This window comes from Homo sapiens, chromosome 14, assembly GCF_000001405.40.
Source record: "Homo sapiens chromosome 14, GRCh38.p14 Primary Assembly".
In the NCBI taxonomy this organism is placed as follows: domain Eukaryota; kingdom Metazoa; phylum Chordata; class Mammalia; order Primates; family Hominidae; genus Homo; species Homo sapiens.
This window is the reverse complement of record NC_000014.9, coordinates 99,674,388-99,701,147: the sequence shown is the minus strand read 5'-3', so window position 1 is coordinate 99,701,147 and position 26,760 is coordinate 99,674,388. Positions and strand designations below refer to the sequence as shown.

The 26,760-nt window shown below is 51.2% G+C and overlaps 2 protein-coding genes across 7 annotated transcripts in view, besides 5 other annotated features; both read right to left on the bottom strand.

The window, feature by feature from the left end:
- CYP46A1 (cytochrome P450 family 46 subfamily A member 1) overlaps positions 1–16,850 on the bottom strand; it is a 43,004-nt gene extending 26,154 nt beyond the window's left edge. For 2 of the 3 annotated variants that reach the window (NM_006668.2, XM_011536364.2), the window contains exons 1-5: positions 16,612–16,850; positions 9,987–10,067; positions 9,287–9,368; positions 1,609–1,682; positions 1,047–1,133 (exon numbers count right to left, since the gene is read on the bottom strand). In NM_006668.2, coding sequence (NP_006659.1) covers positions 1,047–1,133; positions 1,609–1,682; positions 9,287–9,368; positions 9,987–10,067; positions 16,612–16,730 — 443 coding nt within the window. In that variant the 5' untranslated portion in view covers positions 16,731–16,850. Of the gene's footprint in view, positions 1–1,046; positions 1,134–1,608; positions 1,683–5,673; positions 5,717–9,286; positions 9,369–9,986; positions 10,068–16,611 lie in introns of all 3 variants that reach the window. The other variant, XM_017020933.3, reaches the window with a different exon arrangement.
- Positions 16,466–17,045: a silencer, noted in NCBI's record as "silent region_6068". NCBI's record gives its function as "represses an Ori minimal core promoter by ATAC-STARR-seq in GM12878 lymphoblastoid cells {active_cell/tissue: GM12878}" and the evidence as "EXISTENCE:reporter gene assay evidence [ECO:0000049][PMID:35858748]".
- Positions 18,286–18,355: an enhancer, noted in NCBI's record as "active region_9009". NCBI's record gives its function as "activates an Ori minimal core promoter by ATAC-STARR-seq in GM12878 lymphoblastoid cells {active_cell/tissue: GM12878}" and the evidence as "EXISTENCE:reporter gene assay evidence [ECO:0000049][PMID:35858748]".
- HHIPL1 (HHIP like 1) overlaps positions 20,579–26,760 on the bottom strand; it is a 76,032-nt gene continuing 69,850 nt past the window's right edge. For all 4 annotated transcript variants that reach the window (XM_011537236.3, XM_006720277.4, XM_017021707.3 and 1 more), the window contains one exon: positions 20,579–26,057. In XM_011537236.3, coding sequence (XP_011535538.1) covers positions 25,522–26,057 — 536 coding nt within the window. In that variant the 3' untranslated portion in view covers positions 20,579–25,521. The remainder of the gene's footprint in view (positions 26,058–26,760) is intronic.
- Positions 23,802–24,364: an enhancer, noted in NCBI's record as "H3K4me1 hESC enhancer chr14:100143121-100143683 (GRCh37/hg19 assembly coordinates)". NCBI's record gives its function as "activates a minimal SCP1, AML or CMV promoter by ChIP-STARR-seq in naive H9 embryonic stem cells {active_cell/tissue: H9 hESC(naive)}" and the evidence as "EXISTENCE:reporter gene assay evidence [ECO:0000049][PMID:30033119]".
- Positions 24,365–24,928: an enhancer, noted in NCBI's record as "H3K4me1 hESC enhancer chr14:100142557-100143120 (GRCh37/hg19 assembly coordinates)". NCBI's record gives its function as "activates a minimal SCP1, AML or CMV promoter by ChIP-STARR-seq in naive H9 embryonic stem cells {active_cell/tissue: H9 hESC(naive)}" and the evidence as "EXISTENCE:reporter gene assay evidence [ECO:0000049][PMID:30033119]".
- Positions 25,492–26,055: an enhancer, noted in NCBI's record as "H3K4me1 hESC enhancer chr14:100141430-100141993 (GRCh37/hg19 assembly coordinates)". NCBI's record gives its function as "activates a minimal SCP1, AML or CMV promoter by ChIP-STARR-seq in naive H9 embryonic stem cells {active_cell/tissue: H9 hESC(naive)}" and the evidence as "EXISTENCE:reporter gene assay evidence [ECO:0000049][PMID:30033119]".

Below are 26,760 nucleotides of genomic sequence, written 5' to 3'. Positions count from 1 at the left end.
TTCTCATTTTTTAAATATTTTTGACTCTTGTAATAACATTTAGCTTAAAACACAAACACTGTTCAATTGTACAAAAATATTATCTTATTTGTATCCTTATTCTATAAGCTTTTTTATTAATTCTTTTTTACTTTTAAAACTTTGTTGTGAAAAACTAAGACACAAACACACACATTAGCCTAGGCCTACACAGGGTCAGGATCATCAATATCACTGCCTTCCACCTCCGCATCTTTCCTCACTGGAAAGTCTTCAGGGGCAATAACAGGCATGGAGCTGTCATCTCCTATGATAATAATGCCTTCTTCTGGATGCCTCCTGAAGGACCTGCCTGAGGCTGTTGTATAGTAAACTTTTAAAAAATCTGTAAGTAGAAGGAACCCATTCTAAAAGAATGTTTAAAAGTATAGTAAACACATAAATCAGTAACATAGTCAATTATCATTTATCAATATTACGTACTGTCCATAATTGCATCTGCTAGACTTTGGCATGACTGGCAGTGCAGCAGGTTTGTTTACACCAGCACCACCACAAACATGTGAGTAACACATTGCACTACGCCATTACCATGGTTACAGCATCACTAGGCAATAGCAATTTTCAGCTCCATTATAATCTTACGGGACCACTGTCACATATGCATTCCATCGTTGACCGAAACATCGTTATACAAAGCACAACTATATCACCAAAACATAAAAACTCAAATGAATAAAAGAAGAAGCCCTGACAAGGAGTGATGAGGTCTGATGTGGGGAGCTCTTGGAGGACAGGAACCCCCATGCTTCTGGCCATCGTGGGCACTCAGCCCTTGATGTTCCCAAACTGCGTGGGGGCCTCATTCATCCCCACTTGGTCAGCCTGTCTCTCTCTCTCTCTCCCTTTTGACTATTAACACCCTGTCTTTCCCCTTTTTCCTCTCTCCCTTCAGCTGAGGGAGGCCCCCTTGGGTGGACACTTCCCTCCCCAAGGCCCACCTACACTTCGGCAGCCCCTACTGCCTCTGGCCAGGCAGGAGCCACGGAGCCTCCGGCCACACTCACCTCCGGCTGAAGGCCAGGTCTATGACTCTCCGCTGCTTGTGCCAGCGCTCATAGTTGCATTCGGACACCAAGCCTTGGCCGAAGAGTCTGTAGGAGACACACACGTGATGCGGGAAAGAGGGTGGGGGGTGGGGAGCGACTGCTTGATGGGCTTGGGGTCATATTTTGGGATGAGGAAACGGTATTGGAGCTAGGCGGTGGCGACGGTTGCGCCACATTGTGAAGGCACTGAATTCCACTAGACTGTACCCTCTAAGGTGGGGAAAATGGTGAATGTTATGTCAGTTTTACCGGAATTTTAAAAATAACTTAAAAAGGAAAAGGATGATCGTGTTACCCAACCTCAGTGGCCTCTATATTCCCTGCCATCTGGAGGTTGGGGGAGAAGGAGGAAACTGCTCGTGACAAGAGTGGGGCCACTGTTTACGGGGCACTCATCACATGCCTGGCAGCCAGGGCCTCAGGCCTCAATTCTACACCCCACATTCTGGACCGCACTGGCCCTCACTCACAGCAGGGCTCTCCTGGCCTCCCACCCAGGCCTTCCACCATACCTCCTTACCTCTCACCAAACACAGTCTGGAGCGCACGGTACATCTTGGAGTCCTTGTTGTACTTGGTTGACATCAGGAACTTCTAAATATCCCCAAAAAACCAACATAGGCTCATGCACCCATGAGTAGCTGCAAGATGCTCTTCTGAGACATGCCCCAAATAATCACCATTGGCTGAGTCTCAGCCGCAGTGTGCCCACTTCCCATGCATGATCCCACACAATCGTCCCTATCTTCAAGTAACATCAGCTGTGTGGGGATGGGGAAAATGCAGCACAGAGGGGCGAAGTGATTTTCCTGTGGACGTACAGTCAGAGAGCGTGGGGAGGGCTTGCTCACTCCAATGTCACACTCGGAACCCCATACCATGTCACCTTCCAAAGCAGCAAAACAGGAAAAGGCAAATGCTGCTCTGAAACCAGAGTGAGAAGGGGAGAAGCCCTTCCGGGAGAGGAAGGGCTTCTGGGTCACAGGAAGGGCACTTGGCACACATTTAATATTGCTAGCATGCACTCAAGCCGGGCAGTCAAGGAAGTGTGAAGGCACACTTCCACCCGGGAAGGAGAAACTGCTAAGGACTTGCCCTTGTGCCATAAACAACCGGAAAACCTGGGAAATGTATGAAATGTCTGCTTTCAGACACTGGACAACAGGCAGTGCAGGATTGTGAAACTCCCCGGAGGAAAGCTCAACTTACCTCACCAAGAGCTGGATGGTAACAACAGTAACATCAGCCAACAGCTCTTGAGGCAGGATTGCCCAGTGGTTAACAGCGTGGGCTGTGTAGTCAGCCAGCTTCAATTTGGATCTGGGCTCAGCATCCCTGCTGCACCACATGCTAACTCTGGGACCTTGGATGAGTTACTCACCTCCTCTGCCCCTCAGTTTCCTCATCTTAGATGGATATAAGAGTTCCTGCCTGGCAAGTTTGTTGTGAAGAGTGTCAATTCTACATAAGAAGTGCTAAGAATGGTGCCCGGCACATAGCAGGTGCTCAATAAATGCCAGGTGCACAGCTGCACCCTGCGGTTCACTCAATGCCCAGTCAACCCAAGTTGCTGAGATTACAGGTGTGAGCCACCACACCTGGCTGCGGGTGTTGTTTTTATGCTCATCTTACATACAGATGGAGAAACTGAGGTTGAAAACTGACCCAAGGTTACACACATAGTAAATGGTAGACACAGGATTTGAATCCAGGCAATTTGCTGCGGAGAGAGGGGAGAGACGGCTATGATCCAGACCAAGGGACCACAGGTCCCCTGGTACATTCAGGCAGAGGTACATGAGGGGGAACGTGCTGCAGGACCCAGAGCCCAGAGGCCTGCCCTCTGGGCTACTGCTTTATCCTGTGGGTGCTGGGAAGCAGTAAGAGGATGACTCAACTATCGGTTAACCCAGGTGCTGCTACCTTCTCTGAGATTAGCTCCTGGGGGTTTAATATCGATTTTTCAGCTGAAAAGAAGCCCCAGAAATGCCTGACTTTGTGTCAGGAACCACATTCCAGGGACCTCAAATGTAACCCAAACACTGTCATTTGTAACCCAAGTTCTGTCCCACCAAGAGGAAGACTGTGACAGTAAATGCCCACCCTACAGGCCCCTCTCAAATACCCTAGAGTCACCTGAGGTCTAAGTGAGCCATTCTTAGATTGAACTGAAGATCCCTACCATTAAGGCAGAGTAGCCTCAGTCAGGGTCTGACCAGGTGACCCCCACAACCAGGCACCCCCATGGCCTGCTGTCCCAGAGGCTGGGGATCCTGTGATGGCCTGGTGACATAAACTATGGGATGTGAGGAATGCACAGGGAACCCCCAGTGCCTTGCTGCTTCCTCTGGTCACACACACACCGATGGCACACTTCCACCCGGGAAGGAGAAACTGCTAAGGACTTGCCCTTGTGCCATAAACAACCAGAAAACCTGGGAAATGTATGAAATGTCTACTTTCAGACACTGGACAACAGGCAGTGCAGGATTGTGAACCTCAAGAGAAGGAGGGGAAAAATGTGAGACCTATGACCTAGGATTACCGAGCTTTCTACCCAGAGGCAATTCCAGGACAGCAGCACAAAGAGAAAAGACCTAAATGCAGTCCAGCAGACGTGCCAAGTTGAATAGACAGAGATCAGAGGCTAGGCAGACCAAAGGAGGCCAGAATTAGTAGGACAAAGTACCAGGGAGAAGCTATGCATAGAAAGAGCAGAACAAAGTACCAGGGAGAAGCTATGCATAGAAAGAGCAGAACAAAGTACCAGGGAGAAGCTGTGCATAGAAAGAGCAGGACAAAGTACCAGGGAGAAGCTATGCATGGAAAGAGCTCCTACGCAGCATCTGCATGGGGTCCCTTAGGTCTTCGGATGTATACCAATCTATGCAAATGTAGGGTGGAACTTCAGAAGACTGGCCAAAACAACTTCTGGGGAAAGAAGAATTACTGGGTGACTACAGACTGAAGAATTCTCAGAGCTTACACGGGGCCAATAATTATTCAAGTTTCCACTACCCAGAATAGACAAACCTCAGACACAAGACCTTCCGCAGAGGCCCCAGAATGGTCACTCCTTAGCAGTAGGGCTAAACTAGCTCTCAAGTAAAAGTCTACTCTAGACTCCCACTTATAAAAGCCTTAAAGCAAGCCTGGAAAGGATCAAACTGATCTGCAAGTAACTTTATCATCTCAGAATGAAGTCAAAGAATCTCTAAAGGAATATAACAAAACCTAGTGCCCAAAAATGTAAAATTCACAATGTCCAGTATCCAATAAAAAATCATTAGACATGCCACAAAGCAGGATATTATGACCTATACCCAGGCCCAGATAATGGAATGATAGAACTAGCAGACAAGAACTATAAAACATGTATTACTAATATGATCATGGAACCCACATATCTAAGAAATTCAAAGGATCCCAAATAGAATTAACAAAGAAAAGTACAGCAAATAAAGTATACCAAGGCAGATCATAATCAATTGCTGACATCAGTGATAAAGAGAAAAATCTTAACAGTAGACTGAGATGAAGTGGTATAATATTATTTGAAGATATATTTATATAAGTTAAAGATGAAATTATAAACCCTAAGAAAACAACTAAGAAAGAGAGAAAAGGAACCAATAAGATAATAGTGGTTAGCTGGGCATGGTGGTAGTCTCAGCTACTCAGGAGGCTGAGGTGGGAGGATTGCTTGAGCCCAGGAGTTTGAGGCTGTGGTGAGCTATGAAACCTGGGGAACAGAGTGAGATCCTGTCTCAATCGATCAATCAATCAATCAATAAGACAATAGTAGAGATGAAACAGAATACTAAAACATACTTAATCCAAAAGAAGGCAGGAAAGGAGGAAAAGGGAACAAAAAACAGATGGGACAAATAGAAAACAAACAGTAACATGGTAGATTTAAACACAGCCATATCAATAATTACAGTAAATGTAAACAACCTAAGCACTCTAATTAAAGGCAGAGATTGTCAGACTGTATAAAACAGCAAGAATCAACTGTGTGCTATCTATAAGAAACCCATTTTAAATATAAAAATGCAGATAGGTTAAAAGTAATATAACAGAAAAAAGATATAACATGCAACACTAAGCATAAGAAAGCTGGAATGGAGGCTGGGCATGGTGGCTCACGCCTGTAATCCCAGCACTTTGAAAGGCTGAGGTGGGCAGATCACTTGAGGTCAGGAGCTCAAGACTAGACTGGCCAACATGGTGAAACTCCATCTCTACTAAAAATACAAAAATTAGCTGGGTATGGTGGCAGGCACCTGTAGTCCCAGCTACTTGGGAGGCTGAGGCAGGAGAATCACTTGAACCCTGGAGGTGGAGGTTGCAGTGAGCCGAGATAGCGCCATTGCACTCTAGCTTGGGCAACAAGAGCGAAACTGCTTCTCAAAATAATAATAATAATAATAATAATAATAATAATAATAATAAAGCTGGAATGGCTTAAAGTAGACAAAATATACTTGGAGTAAAGAATGTTATTAAGAATAAAGATGAACATTTCTAAGGATAAAAGAGTCAATTCATCATAAAGACAAATCCATCCTAAATGTGTACACACCTGATAACAGAACTTCAAAATGCAGGAAGCCAAACTAATGGAACTGAAAGTAGAAATAGATAAATCTATGATTATGAAGGGTTCAACATTCCTTGCCCTGCAACCACTAGAACAAGTAGACAGAAAATTAGAAAGGATTTAAAAGATTTGAATAACACTATTGACCAAATTGACCTAATCGACATTTCTAAAACACTTTATTCAACAATAACACAACATACACTCTTTTTAAGGGTTCATTAACATTCACTTTGATGAACCATATGCTGGGCCATAAAACAAATTTCAATTAATTTAAAAGGACTGAAATCATGATGATGAGTATTCTCTCTGACTTTACAGAATTAAATTAGAAATCAATAACAGAAAGATATCTAGAATATCCCCTAATATTTAAAAATTGAATAACATACATCCAAATAATCCATGGTTCAAAGAATAAATCACAAGGGAAGTTAGAAAATATTTTGAACCAAATGAAAATAAAACATATCAAAATTTGTGGTAAATTTGTCCTAAAGCAGTGCTTAGAAGGAAATGTATAGCTCTAAATGCTTACATTAGAACAGAAAAAATGTCTAAAATCAATTGTTTAAACTCCATCCTAAAAATCAGAACAAGAACAAATTAAACCCAAAGTGAATACAGAAAGGAAATAAGAAAGAGGAGAAATTGGCTGGGGGTGGTGGCTCACGCCTGCAATCCCAGCATTTTGGGAGGCTGAGGCAGGCAAATCACTTGAGGCCAGGAGTTCGAGATCAGCCTGGCCAACATGGTGAAACCCTGTCTCTACCAAAAAAATAAAAATTTAGCCACGTGCAGTGGTGGGCGCCTGTAATCCCAGCTAGTCGGGAGACTGAGGCAGGAGAATCACTTGAACCTGGGAGGCAGAGGTTGCAGTAAGCTGAGATCACGCCACTGCACTCCAGCCTAGGTGACAGAGCAAGACTTCATCTCAAAAAGAAAAAAAAAAAAAGAGGAGAAATCAATGAAATAGAAGACAAACAATGAAGGAAACCAATAAAACTAAAAGCTACTTATTTGGAAAGATGAATAAAATTGATAAACCTTTTGGTGAACTGATCAAGAAAAAAAAAAAAAAAGAAAACCCAAATTACTACTCTCAGGAATGAGAGAGGGAACATATCACAGATCCTACAGACATTAAAAAAAAAAAAAGAAAGAAAATCTCATGAACAACTTTATGCCAATAATTTAAGCAAATTATGTGAAGTGAACAGATCTCTTGAAATATGTGAATTATCAAACTCAAGAAAACAGAAAATCTGAATGCCATATGTCAACTAGAGAAGGAAATGCTGAAACATGCTACAAGATTAATTCACTTTGGAAACATTATGCTAAGTGAAATAAGTCAGATGCGAAAGGACAAATGCCATATGATTACACATGTATGACGCACATAAAGTAGTCCAATTCACGGAGACAGAAGGTAGAATAGTGGTTTCCAGGGTCTGGGGGGAGGGGAATGGGGAGTTATTGTTTAACTGATACACAGTTTCAGTTAGGGAAGATGAAAAAGTTCTGGAGATGGATGGTGGTGATGGATGTACAACAATGTGAATGTCTTTAATGCTGCTGAACTCTACACCTAAAAATGGTAAATTTTATGTTATGTGCATTTTATCATAATTTAAAATTTAAAACATACAATGTAAACAAAATTAAATTTGTAACTTAAAAAAAATAAAAATTTCCCTCAAATAAAACTCCAGGCCCACATGACTTCACTGGTGAATTATATCAAATATTAAAAGAAGAAATAACATCACTCCCATACAAACTTTTACAGAAGATAGAGGAGGAAGTTACCACTTCCCAACTTATCCTATGAGGTCAGTATTAACCTGATGTCAAAACCAGTCAAAGACATTACAAGAATCAAATAAATATGGAAACAAAAACTCTTAACAAAATATTAGCAAATTGAATCTAACAATAATTAAAAGATAATATATCATGACCAGGAATGCAAGATTGGTTTAACATTTGAATATCAATCAATCAGTATAATTCACTATATCAATATATATCTTTAAACTTCTTTTCTCATTAAGCATCACGAAAGTCTTTGTGCATGGTTTTTGGTAGCATGCTTTTACAAGTCTTAAATTGTGTCTATGTTTGAAATTAAACTTTTAATGAAAAATTATTTTTAACATTCTGCTAGAGATTCCTGGTTATTCATTCAACCTGTCTCCTTGTCTTGACTGTAAGTTGTATTTTATCCCTCTCAGAGTCACCACAGCCACCCTCCATTGCAGAGAATTGCCCCACACATCTGCTGCGCACCCATGGTAAGAAAAAAAATGCATCATTGTTTATTGAGCAATTGCTGTGTGCCAGGCAGGGGCTAGATGGCTCATTTATATTATTTTAGTTCTATTCTTACAACCACCCTGTAACAGAGGCACCAACTCTATTTCACAGATGAGGAAATGGAGGCCCAGAATGAAGCAACTTGTCCAAGGTCCCACAGCCAGTTGGTGGCAGAGCCCGGAGTTGAGCCCAGTTCTGCCAACTCCACAGCAGATACCCATTCTTGGAACCTTCATGGCAGACAGGACAGACAATGCCACCTGCCTTGGTTCCCTCATTTCACTTCTTTTTTTTTTTCTTTTTTGGAGATGGAGTCTCACTCTGTCACCCAGGCTGGAGTGCTGTGGCACGATCTCAGCTCACTGCAACTTCTGCCTCCCGGGTTCAAGCGATTCTCCTGCCTCAGCCCCCCAGGTAGCTGGGATTACAGGCGCCCACCACCACACCCAGCTAATTTTTGTATTTTTAGTAGAGATAGGGTTTCACCATGTTGGCCAGGCTGGTCGCGAACTCCTGACCTCAGGTGATCCACCAGCCTCAGCCTCCCAAAGTGATGGGATTACAGGCATGAGCCACTGTGCCTGGCCCTTTTTTTGAGATGGAGTTTCACTCTTGTCACCCAGGCTGGAGTGCCATGGCACGATCTCTGCTCACTGCAACCTCCACCTCCCAGGTTCAAGTGATTCTCCTGCCTCAGCCTCCCGAGTAGCTGGTATTACAGGTGCCTGCCACCATGCCCAGCTAATTTTTGTATTTTTAGTAGAGATGAGGTTTCACCATGTTGGCCAAGGGACTAATAAGAGTCCCTACTCCTATGAGGATTAAATGCGTCACTAATTGTGAAGTGCATAGAAAAGTACATAGTAAGCACTCTTTAAGGATGTTTTGACATATTATTTGTTAAATAAACTGATCAATTTTTAATTCTTATCATAGCCCTGGAGATAGAGTTATAATTCCCATCTCACAGATGAAGGAACTGAGGCAAAGAGAGGCAAACTAAACGTGTGTGCACTAGTTGGGCAAAACTTCCAACCCAAATGGGGACAGCAAGGTCCCCATCTACTCCCCACATCAAAAGGCAATGCTTGCAAGAGTCCCCAAGGAGTGGGTGCTTAGAGGGAAAGATGCCATTCCTTTCTGGATCTTTGGGAAACCAGCCGAAATGCGCCTGGCTCTGGAACATTCATCCAAAGTCTCTGGGACCAGGCTTCACTCCCCCAACCCAAGGAAAGGCAGGGAACTCCCTCATGGAAACCACTCTTCCTCCTACCTTAACCGACTCAGGACTCGTGACGATGACTGAGGTTTTGTGGAAGACGTTGACCCGCACAACAGGTCCATACTTCTTAGCCCTGGAAACCAAAGTGACCCGAAGGAAACTGTCAACCACCTGAGGTATGACCATCACCAACCCCGCCCAGCTGAGAAACCGATGTTTCCCGTCCCAGAAGGTGCTCAATGCATGCTACCAAAAGAGTGCTGTCCTGGGGCCCAGGAGCCCTGGGGGCAAGGCTCTGCCCTGTTGCTCACTTGCCGAGTCATGTCCCCCAGCAGGCCTCAGTTTCCACAGCCATGGAATAGGGTTGGAAACACTCCTTCTTTGATTGTCCCAAAAGGTTGTCCTGGGAATCAAATGATTCGCATCTTTGAAAGTACTTTGAAAAATGTAAAAAAGTGACACACCAAACAATGACTGTTACCTGGTCACACCCCCCCACCCAGTTTACAGATGAGGAAACTGAGGCTCAGAGAGCTTCTGACGGCTGGTCTAAGGTCCTGCAGTGGATGAATGGCAGAGCATGGCTTCCAAGCCAGCCTCACCTGCCTCCACTCAGGGGAGGAACTGCTGGGGCTGGGAGTAACCTGGGCTAGGGGAAGGTGAGGCTGGGAGTCTGTGTGCTGGATTGGGTTGGGGGAGCTGCCCCAAGGGAACCTGGAGTAAGGGCAACAAGTGACAAATGAGAACCCACCAATCCAAAAACACATCTTGGAGCACACGGCCACCAACCTCATCCTTTTTCCAAAAGCAGGGGAGGTGTCCTAGAAGGAAACTAGAAGAAACAGGAAACATTAGGCTTACCAGCAGTCAACAGGAAAGAACGCTCCCTTCCCCACAAGATCTTATTACTAGGCCCACTTCACAGACAGGAGGACCGAGGCATGGGGAGGTTACAGCACTGGCTCAGGGACACCAGGCAGTAAGAATGAAGACAGGATGCAAACCCAGGTCTGACCAGCTCCAAAGACCCCCTTGGAGAAGAAACAGTTTTTTTTCCTGTCTCCCTGGCACAGAAGTTGGGGGCTGGCAGATAGAAAGGACTCAATAATATTGTGTGGGATCACCCTCAGATATTCCCCAATACTGACCAGGCTGGGCACCACCACGCTAGGCTTCACCCCTCCAACCTCCCCACATGGCTGATCAGTCTGTTATTAACCGTATTATATAGGACAGCCGAGATGAAAGGGTGAAGTCATTTGCCCACAATTGCACAGCTGGTACCAGGGCTCCCCAAAGCCCATCTCAGCAAGGGATGGTTTGGTCATATAAATCTGCTGTGTTCACCAAATTGTAAAGAAGCCAGTGCAGTGTCATCCTGAAGCTCATTCCAAGGGGCCCATGACTTCCTGTCTCCTGTATGACTTTATTCCTACCAAGCTCAATGCAGCATCCCCAATGGGTGACAACAAAATCACGTTCTCCCAGGGAAAGGCGGAGAGTAAATAAACAAGTAAAGACAATGTCAGAGGGTGATAGGAGAAAAAGAGAACAGAGTACGGGGAAGAGGAAGGGCTGGGGATGAGTGTGTGGGTGTCCGTTTAAAACCCATTTATGCCTAGTGTTCCATTATTGGAACGCTAAGCTTGTGGAAGTTATTTATGTCCTACTGCTCAAGGTCAACACCAAGGTCTGATTTTTCAAATTCAAAAAATTGCAACCTCAGGCATAAATGGGTTAATGCAGGCAGGGCACGCAGTGTCCCTCTAAGAGGGTGGCTTGTGAGATGAGACCTGCAAGAAGCGGGGGAAGAGCCTTCCAAGCAATGGGAACAGCAGGTGCCAAGGTCCTGAGGTCAGAGTGTGCTTGGACAGTGAGGAAGCCAGTGTGGCTCGGGCAGAGTACTTGAGGGAAACAGAGTACAAGGTGGGTCACCAAGACTGGGGGCAGGTCATGTAGAGCCTTGTGGGCTGTGGTCCAGATTTTTGCTTTGACTTTGGTGAGCTGGGGTCCACTAGAGGGTTTTGAGCAGAGCAGAGATGGGATCTGACTTGGGTTTGAATGGATTGTTTTGCAGCAGTGCAGAGAGTAACCAGGGTAGGGGAGGAAGCAGGGACACTAGTGACAGGGAAGGACTGGGAGAGGTGACGAGGGCTCAGAACAGAGCAGGGCAGCGGAGGCAATGATAAGAAGAGGTCAGATTCTGAATGCTCTGTGAGGCGGAATACTGGAACGTGCCGTTTGGCTATGGGGGTGTGAGGATGACTCTGTGTTTTTGGCCTGGGCTGCTGGAAGAATGGATGGAGCGACCATCTACCAAGATGAGGAGGAGCTGGTTGGGGTGGCAGAGCCACCGTGCCCACCCCCTGCAATTTGCCAGGGCCGTCTCTGGCTCTGCCCACAGGAGATGAACCCACTTTGAGCAGCCCTCCACCAATGACCTCAGCCCCTCCACTTCTGGGGTAGCTCTGGGCATGTGCTCTACACAAGTCCCCAGGGTTCCCAGGGAATTGCACCTGTTTCCCCAAGAGGTAACTTGTTTTATTGGTTTGTTTACCTTCTTTATCCACTCTCCTCCTCCCACTGCTCAAACTGGGATCATCCCCCACCTCCTAAACTACTTACACTTCATTTCTTATCTCAGGATCAGCTTTGGGGGGACCAATCTCAGACAAGCAGATGAAATTAGGAGCTTGGCTTGGGACCGGTAAGGTTTGTGGTGGACTATTGAGCAGGAAGTTAGACACTCAGATCTGGAGCCCAGGGAAGGGCTGTAGGCTAGAGACATAAATTTGAGAGCCCACAGCAGAGAAGTGGTATTTCCAGCCCAGTGATTGGATGAGGCCACAAGGGAATGGATACAGACAGAGAAGAGGACCAAGAACTAAGCCATCACTGAGAAGTTGGGAGCATAGGGACAGCCAGCCAAGTGGACTGAGCGGGAGCACTGGGGAGGAGGGAAGAGAGCCAGGAGAGTTGGGTGAGAAGCCAGAGGAGGATGCGGGACAAGGCGGAGGGGGCATCGGCTCTGCCCAGGCTGCTGGGGGCCAGGTCAGACGAGGATCCAGGGCTGACGGCTGGGTGCGACAACATGGAGATCACCGGGAACCGAGCCCCCAGCAAGTTTGGTGGAGAGGTATGGGGCAGAGAGAACCAGAGGGGAGAAAAGGGAGGCCCAAAGGCAGGCAGTCAGCCAGGTGGGTTACCATAGGGGGCGGCAGCTACAGGGAACGAGAGGGTGAAGGGAAAGGTTTTGTTCCAAGCTTTGAATTCTTACATATTATATAAAAATGGGGATGATGCAGAAGAGGAGGAAAAGTGCTGATTTGGAGGTGGGGGTGCTCCTAGGACAGGGTTGCTGAGCAGAGGGGGCAGGTTGGCCTGGGCTACCCTCCCGGAACAGCTGGAAGGTGTGCGTGGGCCTGGGGCAGGAGGTGGGCAGCTGCTCAGTGGAGCCCAGGAAGGAAACTCTCACCGGCTGCTCCCTTTGCTCAGGGAAGTAGGAGGCAAGAATAAAAGCTGAGAGTGCGGATGGAGGGGGAGGTGATGGGGACTGAAGCAGGAAGGGAGAGTAGGCGAATAAACGCCCTGGGGAAGGAAGTACGGGGTGGCCGCCTGCCCGCAGTGGAGGCCCACGCCAGGTGAGTGGCCTTGAACTTGCAGGAAGATGGGCTGTGATCATCACACATGCCTGGATGTATTTCCAGAGTAATCTAGTGTCCTCATTGTCGCTTCCCAAAGCTCACATTCTGGGGGAATGTTCTCAGTTTTGAGTCACTTAAGTGAGGACAGAGTCTGAGCCCAGAGCTTCCACCCTAACCCCTGGGGTTCCCTGCCACATGGGAAGGAAGGTGAGTGCCATCTCAGGAAGACAGAGGGCACAGAGAGGGGTGGGGTCCTCATGGCCCACCAAGAAAGGGGAAAAAAAACCCATTCCTTCTGGCACCTGCAGGGGGCGCTGGGGAGGCGACAACAGAACAGGAAGACCCAGGTGTTAAAAACAAGCAGGTAAGGCTAACACCATGGCCAGACATGGGGACTTGTTGCTCAGCGCCCCGGCAGGCAGAAGCCCACTTGGCATGTCCCTGGTGATAGACTGGACACAGCAGAGCAGCCCTGGGAGAGAGGAGAGGCAATCCCCCACCGCCCACCACCCCACACCTCTCCAGCACATCCAGTTTCCTGCAACATCATGATTGGCTGAGTGGGGACCCAAGCTCTCCTGTGGGCAGAGAAAACCTTGGCCAGTGAACGAGGAGAGGCCATCTGGAGAGCCCACAGTGAAGTCACCCAGAGGGATGAAGGGAATGCTCCAGTAGTGGAGGAGCGGGCTACCCACTAGGGGTAGGCGTGAGGGTGAGGGACCATGATTGTGGCTCATGCCAGAGGGGCAGGGTGGCGAGTGCTCAGCTGGGCACCCAAAGCTCATCAGATGCACCACCCGCCAGAGCCAGCTGTGGGGCTCCCCCATGGCTGGCCACCCTGCTCCTTGCTGAACAGCCCCACCCCAGCAACTGGGCAAATCGGAGTGGAACCAGAACTGTCCAGGAGGAGTCAATTTATCCCCAAATAAATAAAAATTGGGAGAGAAAGACCTTTCATTGTCAAGTTTACATCCACTCCCACATTACCAGGAGAGTAGGGGCTGATGAGGGAAGTTAGAACAGTGACAGAGAAATAAAGAAGCTACAGGTGTTTGTGTGGGATCTGAGTGTGGGGGTCTGAGTTTTCAGCTGTTACACGGATCGGTGCAGTAGGATGTGGTAAGAAAAGCACAGAGGAGGGGCACTGAGGGAGGGCCTCCTGTAGAATGAGGAAGATGAAGAGTTGCCTCTTGCAGCGAGAGGGTTCCTTGCCTGCCAGCTGGCAAAGCCCTGGGGTACCCGGGGGCAAATGCTACTACTGGAGACTCAACACACAGATCTCTCGTCAACCACAGTATCGCCAATCATAGTTTAAAGATCCAGGCTTTTAATGTCAAGGCATCGGGTTTCTGCTAGAAGAGTTTCCAGAACTTTCATTTAGTGCAGTTTTATATTTGACCACTAACCAATTTTTAATCCAAAATCTTTTTATATATGCATTGTTCAGTTCACCTCCTTAGAATAAATAGCCCAATCATGATTATATTCATCTTCCTCCCACTGCTCCCTCCGCACCCCACACACTCAGGTCACATGTAGACTCTGTGGTATAAGATTTGGGAAGAATTTAGCCATAAGAAGGAAAGCAATAAGGATACATGCTACTACATGAATGAACTTTTGAAACATTATACTAAGTGAAAGAAGCCAGACACAAAAGGCCACATATTGTATGATTCCATTTATATGAAATGTCCAGAACAGGCAAATCCACAGAGACAGAAAGCAGATTCATGGTTGCCAGGGCTGTGAGGGGTGGGAGAAAATGAGGAGTGATGGCTAATGGGTACGGGGTTTCTTTCTGGGGTGACAAAACAGTTCTGAAATCGGTGGCGATGGCTGCACAGTGCTGTGAATGTACCAAAAACCACTGAATCATACACTAAAGAATACATTTTGTGGAATGCAAGTTACATTTCAATTTTTTTTAAGATGATTTAAATTCTGCTTTCTCAAGACACAGAGACCAGAACAGGTCATTTGAGTTTATGAGAAGACCAAGTAACGATGAAACTTATCAGAACAAGCACCAAACTCATTCAATTCTAAGTGCTGATGGCTTCTCTGAAAACTTGAGAGGGTGATAGTGTCCACCACGGAACTCACGGGAGATTTCCACCATTCAACCTTGAATTGCTATTCATAGAGTGTCTACTATGCATGTACAATGTGCTGCTACATGTCGGAGATGCAGCAGTGACTGAGACAGACAGGGGGCCCATGGAAAAGAGACACTTAGGAAAAACTTGCACAAATAATTGCCCAATTAACATTATGCTGTAAAGGAAAATTACAGTGATTTCAGGGTTTATAAAATGAACATAATATTTTTGGGGGAGCAGGAGGAACCTCCCTGAGGAGTTAGCATTGAAGCCAAACCTGGAAGGCTGGGGGAAGAAGCATCCAGGTAAAGTAGAAGGCAGAGGAGCTAAGCAAGGAGAGAGAGAGAGAGCACCAGAAGGGCAGAGAGCCAGCAGGGAGAACAGGTGCCTCCCTATGTCACCAGCCACAGAGATCTTTCCTGAACCCATCAAGCAGAGATTCAGGCTTCTAACGCCAGTACATCTGGCTTGTGCTGGAGATGGGTGCCTTCCAGAATATTCATGTCCTGAGATTTTAAAAAGTGTGTCTAATACAATTGTTTATTCATTCATTCAACAAATATTTATTGAGATCTGCAACACGCCAGGCACTGGGGATACACAAGCGAACACAGAGTGTCCCTGTCCTCCCGGGGCTCACATTCTAGAGGGGGAGACAGTCAACAGGTGAACAGACAGTCAACAGGTGGAAAGAAGGTAACCTCAGAGGTGATGGCCCCTGAGAAGTCTGGGGCTGGGTGGTCTTTACACAAGGTGCTGGGCAAGGCCTGTTTGAGACAAGCAGAGGAAGAAGCCCGCCAGGCCCAGGCTTGAGAAAAGGACCCGGGGGGAGGGAAGCTGCGGGGGGGGCGGGGGGAGGGGGAGGCTGGGAGAAGAAAGGCTGGGGGCAGTAGTGAGAAAGCAAGAGGAAAGAGCAAGCTGCAGAGTGGGTTCTGAGTGCTCGGCAGGGGCCTCGCGGGCCATGCAGCCGACTTAATTTAGAACTGCATTTAGTTGTCAAGTGATGGGAAGCCCTTGGAGCAGGGAAATGACACATTTAATTTAAGCTTCACAAAGCTAAGCTGGGGGTGGGGGGGGGTTGGCAAGTTGAGGGGGGTGTAAGTTGCGTGGGGGTGGGGACCAAGAATGCAATTGTAAGTACTAAGGAGAAGACAAATGGGGTGTCCCAGAACAGAAATACAAGCAAAAGGAAACATGACTGAAGTACAGCGTGCTCCAATCCAGGCTGACCCTGTCCAAGTCCCAAAGTTAACAGCGCCCACTTTGGAGGCAGGCTGACCTGGGCTTAAATCTAGGCTTACCAACCGTGTGACCTTGGGCAGGTGACTTCGCCTCTGAGCGCCTCAGTCTCCTCGTCTGAACGATGGGTTAACAATAGCGCCTACCTGAAAGGGCTGTGGCTGCCATCACGTTTGTGGGGCCCAGCTGTGCGCGGTGGGCGCCCAGCAGCTGCTGCGGCTGTGAGTAATTTGTTACTAAGAATAGTTAGCGCCCCTCTCGGGGCCGCCGACTCCCAGCGGCCGCGCGCACTAGGCGAGGCCGGACCCCCGGCCTGGACGCCGGCTTAGACGCTGTCCCCAGGCCCCCAGTCCCAGCACCCCAGCCAGGCCCCGCCCCCAGCCCCGCTCACCTGGGCCGCGGCGGCCCGGGGATGTGCTCGTAGCGGCTGCGAGCGCGGTGCACGAAGGTGCAGCAGAGGCCGAAGGCGAGCAGGACGGCGCTGCCGAGCAGCAGCAGCCCGGGGCTCATGGCTCCGGGGCAGGGCAGGCCAGGCCAGGGTCGGGCCGGGCGCCGAGGGGGCCGGGAGGCCGCGAGCCGACTCAGCTGTCAGCGCCGCGCGCCGCCTCGGCCCCAGGCCAGGCGCGACCCAGCACCCTCCCCGCCCGCTCGGCTCCGCCCCCGCCGACTCCGACCCCTCCCAGGGCGCACAGTCCCCGCCAACCACGTCTCCGCCTCCGGCTCCGGCGCTCCGGGCCCTCCCCCGCCCCGCCCCGCCCCCCAGAGCTCCGCCCCAACCTCCACACCGCCCCAGCCCAGGCCCCACCCCGAGCATGTGGTCTTCACCAATCACAACTCCGCTTCTGGCTCAGCCCCCCAGGCTCCGCCCCCACCTCTTCAGACTCAGGTCCGCCCCAGCAGCAGCTCCGCCCAGAACGCGTTGTCCCTGGCAACGCCGATCCTCAGCGCTCTGGCCCGGCGGCGGCGCGAAGTCCTGCTGGCTGGCTCCGCCCGCTTCGGCGCCTCCAAATAACGGCATCTTTCCGCGCGCGGTCTTAGGCCCCTTCCTTTTTCCCCCAAACCTGCCCGGAAACCCCATCCCAGCCTGCAAAAGTCCGCATAACGCCGACTGTTCCCAAACTTCTCCTTGGAACCCCAGACCCCCAAAGTTGTTCTCCAGTTGCCCCGGGGCGCCTCCTCCGCCCGGACAGTCCACGCCTAGCGCCCGTGGTCCGCCAGCGGGGCCCGCGGGCTGGTGGCAGGATCCTGCGGGACCCAGGGACGCCTGTGTCTGCGACCGAGAGCGCACGGCGTGGCCGGAGGCTGTTCTCCCAGAGACTCGGGGGCCTGCGGACCCTCCTAGACCAGGCGAAGCCCCATCTGAGGCGCTGGCTCAGGCCCGAAGGAGTTGGAGTTGGAGGGATGAAAATCTGGGTCCGCCCTCCAGGGAAAGCGGGAAATGTGCCGGGGAGGCGGGGGTAGCGGAGGAGAAGGTATTTTCGAAATAATGACCAGGGCTTCCCCCTCTGTCGTAACCCGCGTCTCCTTGCCCATCCCGTATGAAGATGAGGCCAATTCTGGGCGTTTTAGTTCCCAATTCCTATCCCGAGGGACCACCCAGCGTGAAAGTCGTGGCAGGGGAAGGCCAGGTGTGCCCACTCCTAGCCCAGGTAAAGGTCCCCCGGGCTGGAGGTAGAGGCCCAGGGAGTGTAGATGCTGCTGGGTTTCTGAGAAGAGGCAATGCCCCTGCCCCACGCTTGAGCCAGTCCTGGAGAGGTTGGGGGTTGGAAAACGAAGGGGACCTTGGTACCGCCTTCCCAGGTATAGTTAGGGACATGGGACATGGCTGTTAGGGGTGTGGGCTGAGGGGCGACGGAGACGGCCAAGTCTTAAGAGCCGTGCCCAGCACGGAGGAGGCGGGACTTCTGCCCTCGGGGCCACCGCAGCCTGGACAGGTGGGCAGCAGAGCATCCATCCCCCCGGCGCCTGGCCCGGCCGCCCAGTTGGACTCGGGGATGTTGGCTTGCTATGGCGCCCCCGTGTGGCGGCGGTGACAGGCAGCCGCAGGCCCACAGGGTAACTCAGGCTGGCCCTGCTGGGGTGAGGTGTGGAACGGAGCCACCAGGTCCCCTGTGGGCTGTGAAAGCTCCGGGGCTTGAGGGCAATTTGGAGGGAGGATGAGGCTGCAAGAAGGAGGGTGTGGATTCCTGCGCACTGGAAGGTGGGTTGGGGTGGTTAGCTAGAAAAGAAATGTGACGGCATCACATTTAGTATCCAGTTTGTGGAACGGCTCCCTGAGATTACACAGTGCATCGCACTGTCTGAAGAGGACTTTCTCTTGCCTTGTCTCTCCAGACCCCTGGAACAATGGTACTGTTAGCAACAGCAAATCCATATGGGTCTGCAGCAGCCTCAGTTCTTGCCTCCTCAGAAGAAAGAATTCGACTGAGGGGCGTAAGGCAGAGTGAGAGGCAAGTTTTAGAGCAGGAGTGAAAATGTATTTAAAAGTTTTAGAGGCCGGGCGCAGTGGCTCACGCCTGTAATCCCAGCACTTTGGGAGGCCGAGGCGGGCGGATCACGAGGTCAGGAGATCGAGACCATCCTGGCTAACACGGAGAAACCCCATCTCTACTAAAAATACAAAAAATTAGCTGGGCGTGGTGGCGGGCGCCTGTAGTCCCAGCTACTGGGGAGGCTGAGGCAGGAGAATGGCGTGAACCCGGGAGGCGGAGCTTGCAGTGAGCCGAGATTGCGCCACTGCACTCCAGCCTGGGTGACAGAGCGAGACTCCGTCTCAGAAAAAAAAAAAAAAAAAAAAAAAAAAAAAGTTTTGGAGTAGGCATGAAAGGAAGTAAAGTATACTTAGAAGAGGGCCAAGCAGGTGACTTGAGAGAGGCAAGTGTGTGGCTTGACCTTTGACTCGGGGTTTTGTAGGTTGGCATGCTCCCGGGGGGTTGCATCTCTCTTCGCCCCTGATTCTTCCCTTGGGGCGGGCTGTCTGCGTGCGCGGTGGCCTGTCAGCACCTGGGAGGGGCCGAATGCACAGCTGTGTTTACTGAAGTTATGTGCGCGCTCATTTGAGGTGTTTTTCCCTTACCGGTGTTCCTAGAGGAAGGTCATCTACCAGTTAATCGCTGCCATTTTGCCTCTTAGTGTGCATGCTTGAGCCCACTCGCCCAGCTCCTGAGATCTTATCGGGAAGCTGATCACCAGCTTCAGGTGTTTCCATCTGTTGGGAGACTGCCTCTCCCTGGCACTGGCTGCGACCAATTATTATTTGAGAGAAGCAGTTTATCAACTGCCTGACCATCATCTGATGGCCACTTGACATTCCTCGTTGGGGGAGGGCCCTCTCCTGCCCTGCTCATGTCTGCCTGACTACCTACTGTCACAGTTCCTTGAGGGAAGAGCCAGGTCCTGAACAGCTCCAGGCACAGCCTGGAGCCCCACAGAAAGCAGGTGTAGAGCAGCATCAGGGAGCAGTGGTCAGCGTGAACCTCTCCAAATACGGCTAAGGAGAGGAGTGGGCATACGTCTTCTCTGACACATCGGGCAGCACCAGTGATCTCTGGCTCAACATGACCATGGCTTACCCCAGGAGCAGCACTTCCAGAGCAGTTGCCGTTCCCATCTGTGAGCCAACAGTCTCCCCTCTCCCTAGGCACCAAGCCCACAGCTGTCCCATCACCACCTCATTTGATGCTCCCAGCTATCCTGTGATCAGGTAAGGGAACACAGGCTGCATACCAAGGCTCCAGGTCCCAGGGCTGAAAGCCCTTTTCCTGGGTGGGCAGCGCTGCCTGGAAGCACGTGGCCAACCACCTGCTCCTTCACTGGAGGGTCTGGAGTAAGCTATCCAATGTGGCAGCCATTGGCCACATGTGGCTTTCTGGTACTTGACATGTGGCTAGTCCAATTGAGATGTGCTATGTGTAAGATACACACCAGATATCATAGATTAATACCAAAAAAGAATGGAAAAAAAAGGTCACCAGGCACAGTGGCTCACAACTGTAATCCCAGCACTTTGGGAGGTGGAGGCAATAGATCTTTTGAGAACAGTAGCTCAAGACCAGCCTGGGCAACATAGGGAGACCACTTCTCTACAAAAAATGAAAACAAACAAACAAACAAAAAAACTGGCCAGGCATGGTGGCATATGCCTGTGGTCTCAGCTACTCAGGAGGCTGAGGTGGAGGGATCACTTGAGCCTGGGAGTTTGAGGCTGCAGTGAACAGTGATGGGACCACTGCACTCCAGCCTGGGTGACAGAGCCAGACCCTGTCTCAAAAAAAAAAAAAATTGATATTTATATATAGGTACCTGTTAAAATGATAATATTTTGAATATGTTGGGTTAAATAAAATATATTATTAAAATTAATTTTACCTGTTTTACTTTTTTAACATGGCTACAAGCAGATTTTAAATTACCTATTTGGCTCACATTATGTTTCTATTGGATAGCACCAGTATGGACAATGACTATGGCCCCTAGAACAGGAGGATTAGCATTACCCAGGAGCTTCTAGAACTGAAAATTCTCAACCAAGACTGAGTCAAAAACTCTGAGAGACAGGACCCAGCAACCTGTGTTTTAAGCAGCCCTGTAGAACTTGATTCTTCTCAAGCTTGAAACCCACTGGTGTAGATGACACCATACGAGGAGTGGTTTCCCAGCAGGAATTGTTGGGGAGATGCAGGCATAAGAGGTGGCTCTGAATTGGCTGCCTTTACATGGGTGGCCTGGCAGGGTGGAGGTGCTGTATCCCAGGGAAGGAGAAGGATCCGGCTCTGGGAGAATGGGCCTTGGTGCAAACCTGCCTCTAAAGCCCCGGGGACCACTTACATAACACCCTAGGAATCTGTCCCCTCATCTGGAAAACAGGGACAGTGATATTGAGGGTGTCTCGTGGAGCTGTTGTCAAGATTAAATGAGCTGACACACCCGAGGTAGCTGGCATGTAATAACTGCTCAGTAAAAGCTAGTTCTCAGTGGGGGAGGAGGGGCGAGGGGACAGAAGCGCGACAAGAAGACTTGAGTTCTACATGTTAGGCTGAAGGAGCTCTTTCTTCTGCTATTGTGAGAGTTTCTTCCCATGTCATTCTGATGCTGGTCCTTCACGTGGCATGCCCCTCCTCACTCTGTCGCAGACAGTTGGCTGCTGCCAGCATGGATGCCACCAGCCTCGAACTGAGCTTTCTGTCTAGGAAGCAACCTAGAGTGTACGTGCCATGCACGTCTGCAATGCTACCTCATTTTTCATCCAGTAATCCTTCTGGTGACCTCTATTTTGCAATGAGACTCAGAGAGGCACAGAGCCAGGACTGGAACCCAGTTTCCAGCTTCCTTGAACCTCCCAAACATTTCTAAGGTATCAACATGGTGACCCCTAGGCTCAGTCTAGGGCCTGGGATGTTGTGACCTCTGACTGATGTCTTGAACACAGTCCTGGACACTGGGCCACCCCTGCAGCATTGACCCTGAGGCTCCAGCACTAAGCTGTGTGGCACTGGGCAGGGCAGCCCCTCTCTGAGAATCTGATCCTGGCTATTGACTAGAGGTTGGATTAGAGGGGGTGAGGGTGAAGGCTGTGCCCCCATCCTCAGAGGCCCTGGAGGACTTTAAGGCAAGATCGGAGTCCCTGGGGACAGAGTCACATGTGAATGCTCCCTCAGCGGCCAGCTGTAGGTGGTGGAGTGAAAGAAGCACTGGACAGGCAGCCAGCTCTGCCCTTCTCTGAACTTGTGTCCCAGTGGGGTGGGGCTGGCTTTCAATGCCCTTGAGGTGGCCCAGCAGGAAGGCCCACAGCAGGGTCCCAGAGCTGGACTACCTGGGCTCAAATTCAAATTTTGGCTATGTGACATTTGGTAAGTGACAAATGCCCTGGAACTCGGCTTCCACGTGAGTAAATGTGCATTAATATGAGGATTACATGAGTGAATGGTATGTTAAACTTTCAGAGCAGTGCTTGGCATGTAGTAAGCGCTCAGCAGAGGTCAGCTGTTGTAGAAAGTAAAAGTTCCTCTTGAAAGTTTCCCTTCTTGTTAAAGAATAAATCGTAAGTGTTAGAAATAATGGTTTCTTTTAAAGACGAACTTCCTTCAAACCTCCTTGCTTTATGCTAATAACTCTTTGTCAAGCCCTATTCTATGTAACTGTTAGACGTGCTCACAGGCACATAGTACGTTCTATGTCCTTATACTTTAACCAAGATATCTGTGCTGGACGTGCTCACAGGCATGTCCCAGCTCACAGCCTATACCCCTTCCTTATTTGGGAATATTATTACTTTTCTAAGTCCTTTCGTAAGCAACTTCCTCTTTTCCTTTATCCTTCCATTACTTTTACCTATTTAGAAAAATTTTAAACAGCCAATCGGGTTTTAGTTTAGATTGTGCGGTCTGGCTTCTGCCAATGGACATAGGACACAGTAGCAGGGACAAACTGCATAAGGGCTAACAATTGCTTCCCTCCTTTGTTCAGGTGTCCTCTCACTATTGTTCCATCTGCGATGAGCACCCTTTCTGCAGAAAGTAAAATTGCCTTGCTGAAAGAATTAAATTTATGTTTTAGTGCTATTTCTTTCCAGCATCGGGGAACAAGTATTTACATATAACAGCTGTCCACTCTTATTACTACCTAGGGCAGAGGTCTCCAAACCCTGGGCCACGGACCAGTACTGATGGGTGGCCTGTTAGGAACCGGGCCACACAGCAGGAGGTGAGTGGCAGTGGGGCAGGGTAGTGTGGGGAGCAAGCATTCCCACCTGAGCTCTGCCTCCTGCCAGATCAGCAGTGGCATTAGATCCGCATAGGAACATGAAACCTACTATGAACTGTGCATGCGAGGGATCTAGGCTGTGAACTCCTTATGAGAATCTAATGCCTGATGATCTGAGGTGGGACATTTCATCCCAAAACCATCCCCCCAACCCCCATCCATGGAAAAATTGTCTTACATGAAACCAGTCCATGATGCCAAAAAGGTTGGGGACCACTGACCTGGGGACTGTGGAGTGAGTCCCCAGGAGGCAGGCTGCAGCCTAGCCCAGGCCTGGTTTGGGGCCTGAGAGGTGATGAGTTGGAGGCTGGGGAGGAAGAGCGCCTGGCCTGGAAGACTGAAGGCCAAAGCCCGAACTGCCCAGAGAAGTACTGGAGGGCCTGAGGCCGCACCCAGAGCTCCCTTTGCCAACCCTCCTAATCCAGCTCTGAGCAAAACAGCTTCTGGGGCCAGGCAAGCAGGGCCCTGGCTCGGCTGCATTCTTGAGGGCCTCAAGGCTTGCTGCACCTTCCCTGGCTCCAGTCTCAGCGTGGCCTCATCTGGCAACAGGCCTGGGACACTCAGCCTCCCTGAGCTCACTTCCTCATCTGCACAGTGAGGAATTCGGCTGGGATGGTCATTAACGGCCTGCTATCTCCTAACACGCCCGGCGTCAGAGCTCAGAACTCCCCTGCATCCCAGGAAGATGCCCACTCAACCTCCCCTGGGCCACTGGAGGCCCGAGAGGAGCATGAGGCCAGCAGCGGGGGCACCTGCCAGGCAAGAGGAGCCCCCAGGGATCTCCATCAGCTGCTTCCCAGCCAGGCTGGCACTCCCACACCAGGCAGGAGCCCCAGCACACCGCTCTCTGCAGGCATAGTGTAGCTGGGGAGGGCAGTGGTTAGGGTGCGGGGACTCTAAACTAAGCTGCTGTATTCAAACTTGACTTCTCCCTTCCCTGGCTTGGTGCCCTAAGATATCTAACCTCTGTGTGCCTCAGTTTCCCATTCTGTAAAGCACAGAGTATGAGGAGTCCAAGACAGTGACCTAAAGCTTTCTGCTGCAGCCCAGGATCCTATACTAGTGGCTAGGAGACCCTATACTAGCAGCTAGGAGACCCTGCCAGACTCATGCCTGCCCCAAGGCCTGCCCAGCCACCCCTGGTGCCAGCTCCCAGAACTTGGCACAGCATCACCCCCTCCCAAAGCCCCCCCATAGGTTGGGTTTGGGTGCCCCACCCAGACCTCTTCCAACCCCCGACATGGGCCACATCCTGTCTTCACTGCCTGGTGACTCATCTGCTTACCCACCCCCCACCCGTGCTCCCATCCGAGGCTGAGCGCAGTCATACTAAGTGCCCCTCTGCGGCCTGGCACAGAGCCAGGGCCGAGCATCCCTGGAGTGAAGGAGCTTCCACCTGTGATGCAGGTGGGAAGCGGGAGGCCTCACCCCTTTCTCCTGGTTCCCACCCCGGCTCCCACACAGGTGCAGGTCAGAGAGGAGGCAGGAAAGTGGTGTGTAAACAGCCACATTATTGGCATAGCCCTGGGTGAAAAAGTGTCAGTAGTTTCACTGGACCCCCAGCCTGGTCAGCCCCGAGGTAGGGCTGGAGGAATCAGGTCTCCTGGGTTTACACTGAGCAGGGATGGGGATGGAAAGGACAGAGGTGGCCCCAGGGCCCAAACACAGCTTTGAAAGTAGTGGAGGCCCACCGACTCACTGGAGGGCCAGGGTGAAAGCTCTGCCCAGCTAGTGTGGGTGGCTTCTGCCCCAAGAGCAAGAGAGAATCAGGCCTCAGGGTTGGAGGAGGCTGGTCCCATCCCAGGAGCACCCACAAGGACTGAGTATGCTGCTGAGTGGCTTCTCCAGCATACGGCCTTGGAGGTCATCCAGTCCTCACAGCCATCCTCCCTGAGCAGGTGCTGGCTCCTCCACGCAGCCTGCCCCTCCAGTGGGGCCCCAGGCCTGCAGCTCACCCTGCTCCCACCTTCCAGAAGGCTTTCCCTTCCCCACTGGATGCCTTCCGGTTCTCTCCAGCGCCTCTGACTGCCAGGGGGTGGGGGGGATGCGGGCACCAGGCCATGCTGTCCGGGCCACATTCCTCAGGCCACCCTCCGGCTGTTCTTGCACCTTCCATTCCAGCTGTGGGCAGGACAAGCCTGGTTCTCCCCACCGCCCTCAGTCTGCAAGCTGTGCCTCTGTTAGCACAGCCAGGGGCCATGTCCGTCCTCGAAGCCTGGCTGCCCTCCCTCCTCAGGGTCCCACAGCCCGGCTGCTGTTCCTGCTGGTGTCTGAAACGCTTGGAGGTAAGAAAGGAACTCCTCCCGCCCATGATGGACCATGCACTTCCAGAGCCCACACCGCCCCCAACACACACTCCTGCCTTGGGTCTGCAGAGGACACACATGCACTGCAGCGCCTCACACATGTCCCCAGGACAGCACACACCCGCACCCCCTTCACTCTAGAACACGTGTGCACCCGCTGGGCGCACACAGGGCGGAGCGGCCCCTGCCAGGCTCCCCCGCCGGCGGGATGGCCTGGGGCAGCGGCGTGTTGCCTACAGGTCGGGGTTCTGGTGGCTGCACACGACGCCCGCATCCTCGTCGTGCTCGCAGTTGTGGGTGCCCACGCCGTTGTGCTGGCACTCCAGCAGGTTCCGCTCCCAGCCCGCGCAGCGCACATCGTCCAGCAGAATGGGCAGCGAGCCGCCCTGGCCGAACTCGGCTCTCTTGACGGCGCGCACGGCGTAGGCAAACCCCAGCTGGCGACACACGACGGCGGCGCCGCTGATGTTCCAGGAGTCGTCGCACACGGTGCCCCAGCGTCCGCCCACGAACACCTCCACGCGCCCGCTGCCAGAGCTCAGGCCCGCGGGCCGCACCAGGCGCACCTCGCCATCCCGGAACGCCCGGCTCGCCGAGTTCAGCCGCCCCCGCCGCCGCCCGCCGCCCCTCCGGCTCCCTGGCTGCTGGGTGGGCCGCGCTGGCCGCGGGGTTGGCGCGGGGGGAGCGGCCGTGGGGCGCCCTCGGCGGGGCGCCCGCGTGGGCGCCCGCGCTGTAGGCCGCGGGGTGCTCCGTGTCTTCGGGATGAACTCTGCGCAGAGGAAGAGTATGCCGTCAGAGGGACCCAGGCGCCCCTGTCCAGCCCTGCTGCCCACCCTGTGCTGCCCTGCAACCTGTGCGGAGAGCGCAGACTCGGGGAAGGATGTCCTGGGTCTGTCCTGCACTCACACCCAGAAGACGGGATGCCGCCTGCGCTCCCAGTCGTGCTTCCCAGGTCACCCGGACCCAGCAAGATGCCGGCCTGGACTCAGGGGCCAGGGGCTTTTTCAGTCATACAGCAAACACTATCAACTGCTTTGTGCCAGTCTGCTGTTGCTGCGTCTCCCTACCCCAAGCCCCACCTTCCCAGGAGTCCCTAGGTTGGTGGGGGAGCCAGCTCCTGGCACTTCATAACTCTGGAAGGCAATGAAAGGAAGGAGTGTCTGGGAAGGCTTCTAAGAGAAAGTCACCGTTTCATCTTCCAGGCCTTGGTTGTGAGGGTGAGGAAGCTGAGGCCCACAGATGGGTAAAAACTGCTGCGGGTCTGTGGTGGCCAGTGGCCAGCAGGTTGGGAACGGGATACACACAGGGATCCCTGGGGTCAGGGTGAATCTCTTTCCTCCTGGTTCCCAAGGTTGGCACCAGCGGGTTGTCACAGCGGGTACGATGGGGGAACTCTGGTTGTGTCTGGGGAACAAGGCAGAGCCCCTATACCCCACCACAGAGCCTGGGTGCAGTCGGTGCTAGGGAGCTGA